Source organism: Homo sapiens, chromosome 5, assembly GCF_000001405.40.
Source record: "Homo sapiens chromosome 5, GRCh38.p14 Primary Assembly".
Lineage (NCBI taxonomy): Eukaryota > Metazoa > Chordata > Mammalia > Primates > Hominidae > Homo > Homo sapiens.
In genome coordinates, this window is record NC_000005.10 from 17,343,442 (window position 1) to 17,346,199 (window position 2,758).

General features: G+C 43.3%; 1 pseudogene, besides 1 other annotated feature; it reads left to right on the top strand.

The window, feature by feature from the left end:
* Nucleotides 319-613: an enhancer, noted in NCBI's record as "tiled region #14736; K562 Activating non-DNase unmatched - State 24:Quies". NCBI's record gives its function as "activates a minimal TATA promoter and a strong SV40 promoter by Sharpr-MPRA in K562 cells {active_cell/tissue: K562}" and the evidence as "EXISTENCE:reporter gene assay evidence [ECO:0000049][PMID:27701403]".
* RN7SKP133 (RN7SK pseudogene 133) lies at nucleotides 2,175-2,414 on the top strand (annotated as a pseudogene).

The window sequence follows — 2,758 nt, forward strand, 5'->3', positions numbered from 1 at the left end:
GAGGATCGCTTGAACCCAGGAGGTTGGGGCTGCAGGGATTGTACCACTGCACTCTAGTCTGGGTGACAGAGTGAGATCCTCTCTCTCTCTCTCTCCCAAAAGAAAAAAATATGTACATAAATTTACACACACACACATTATATATGTTTTATTGATGTATGTGTGATCAAATGGTTTCGGAAGTCATGGTCTAGGTGTAAGATGATGGTGACTTGGATTTGTTGGTAGTAATAGAAAAGGAGAGAAGCAGATGCATTGGGGATAAGGTTTGAAGGTAAAATTAACAAGATTTGTTGATGGGATGTGCCACACACAGTGTGGGAGCCGTGAGCACACATATGGCTTAGATGTGGCCCAGCTCTCAGAAAGCCTTGCAGCCTTGTGGTGTTTTCTTGCCTGAAGACTGAGGACGTAGCAGTTCTCAAGTTTTGTTTACTTTCACATTCATGATGACTCACAGTTTCCCCAGGGAAAATGATTTTTTCTTCACTTCACAGCCACCTCTTTGCACACTTCTAGGGGCCACCATTTTGCATTACATTGTCTGGAATTGTCCAGACAAACAGTTCAGAGTGATATCCTGAAAAGGTGCTATGTATGTGTCTGTGTGTGGGCATGCATGTGTGTCTGTCTTCAAGAGTCTTTTCTAGTAAAGCGACTCTGCCTTAGGGTTGTATTCTTTTTCGTTGTTTTCTGGAGGTGGGGGGGTTCTTTATCTGAGATTCCACAAACAAAGGAATAGTTGGAGATTAACCATCTCACTGCACGACTAACAGCTCAGGTCTCAAGGATGAGTAGCAGATTTCTCCTGAGACTTGGAGCCACAAACGGAAGCTCTCATTTGTTTTTACTAAATATGATTATAATAGAATGTAACCCAACTATGGTGATATAGTTTGGGTGTGTGTTACAAATCTCATGTTGAGGTGTAATCCTCAATATTGGAAGTGGGGCCTTGTGGGAGATGATTGAATTATGGGAGTGGTTTCTCATCAATGGTTTAGCATCAACCTTGGTGCTGTCCTTGCAATAGTAAGTGACTTCTTGTGTGATGTGGCTGTTTATAAGTGTGTGGTACCTCCCCCCTCTATCTCTTCCTCCTGCTCTGGCCATGTGAAGTGCTGGCTCCTCCTTCGCCTTCCGCCATGATTGTAAATTTCCTGAGGCCACCCCAGAAGCTAAGCAGATGCATCATGCTTCTTGTACAGCCTGCAGAGCCATGATTCAATTAAACCTCTTTTATTTATTTATTTTACTTTATTTTTGAGATGTAGTCTTGCTCTGTCACCCTGGCTGGAGTGCAGTGGCACAACCTTGGCTCACTGCAACCTCCACCACCTGGGTTTAAGCAATTCTCCTGCCTCAGCCTCCCAAGTAGCTGGGATTACAGGTCACGCCCAGTTAATTTTTTGTATTTTTAGTAGGGACAGGGTTTCACCATGTTGGCCAGGCTGGTCGCAAACTCCTGACCTTGTGATCCACTTGCCTTGGCCTCCCAAAGTGCTGGGATTACAGGCGTGAGCCACTGTGCCCGGCTCTTTTCTTTATAAATTACCTAGTCTCAGGTGTTTCTTTATAGCAATGTGAGAATGAACTAATACATGTGGTGATTTCTACATATAATCTGTTTTTGTCTTTGCCAGGCTTTATGCCTACCCCCTTTGTTCTTATTCTCCTGACACACTACAAAAAAACCCACTCACACCAAAGGCATTAGTGAGCACTATTAAACTTATTGAAAATGTTGACTTCAGAAGGTGTCTGTTTTTTCCTGAGTTCACTCTCACTGGCCATCCAGAGGCTCTTTTCCTCACCCAGTCCTGAAACCAACTTCACTTCTCTCAGCTTTCTTTTTCATTGCAAATTGCTGCCTCCTTTGGGGGACACCCTGCTATGGGCTCTTGAAATTATCTTCTAGACAAACCTGATCCCTCATTGAGATGGAATTCATGCACCAACTTCTACAAAGACAACACTTCCTCTATGTTATCACGATACAATTACAGTGATCACCACGTGTGAACAATCATAATATTACCATGATTAAAAAGATTTTTGAGTTCCGTATGACTGACCAACAAGTGCAGTTTTGGAATATGATTTGTACTTACGTTAGAGACCATCTTTTATCTATGAAAATTATCTACTAAAATTTTTCTAAGAAACAAAAAACTGGGTGTGAGGGCGATCTGGCTGTGACATCTGTCACCCCATCGATCGCTAGAGTTGATTCTGCTGATCTGGCTGGCTAGGCGGGTGTCCCCTTCCTCTGTTACCACTCCACCTGCGTCCCTCCCGAAGCTGCGTGCTCAGTCAAAGAGGATGACCATCCCTGATAGAGGAGGACTGGTCTTTGGTCAAGGGCATATGAGTAGCTGCGCTCCCCTGCTAGAACCTCCAAACAAGCTCTCAAGAAACAAAAAACCTATTTCTGATTATGTCAGAGTGTTTTAGCTTTTCAGGGAAAAGTGAATACTCAATAAACAGATAAAGTAGGCTATGTCGTTATTATTTTTATTCTAGGAAGGAGACTCACATTCTATTAGGTTAGATATTAGGTTAGAACATTTTTTTTTTTTTGAGACAGAATCTCACTCTTTTTGCCCAGGCTGGAGTGCAATGGTGCCATCTTGGCTCACCACAACCTCCGCCTCCCAGATTCAAGTGATTCTCCTGCCTCAGCCTCCTGAGTAGCTGGGACTATAGGCATATGCCACCACGCCAGGCTAATTTTGTATTTTTAGTAGAGATGGGGTTT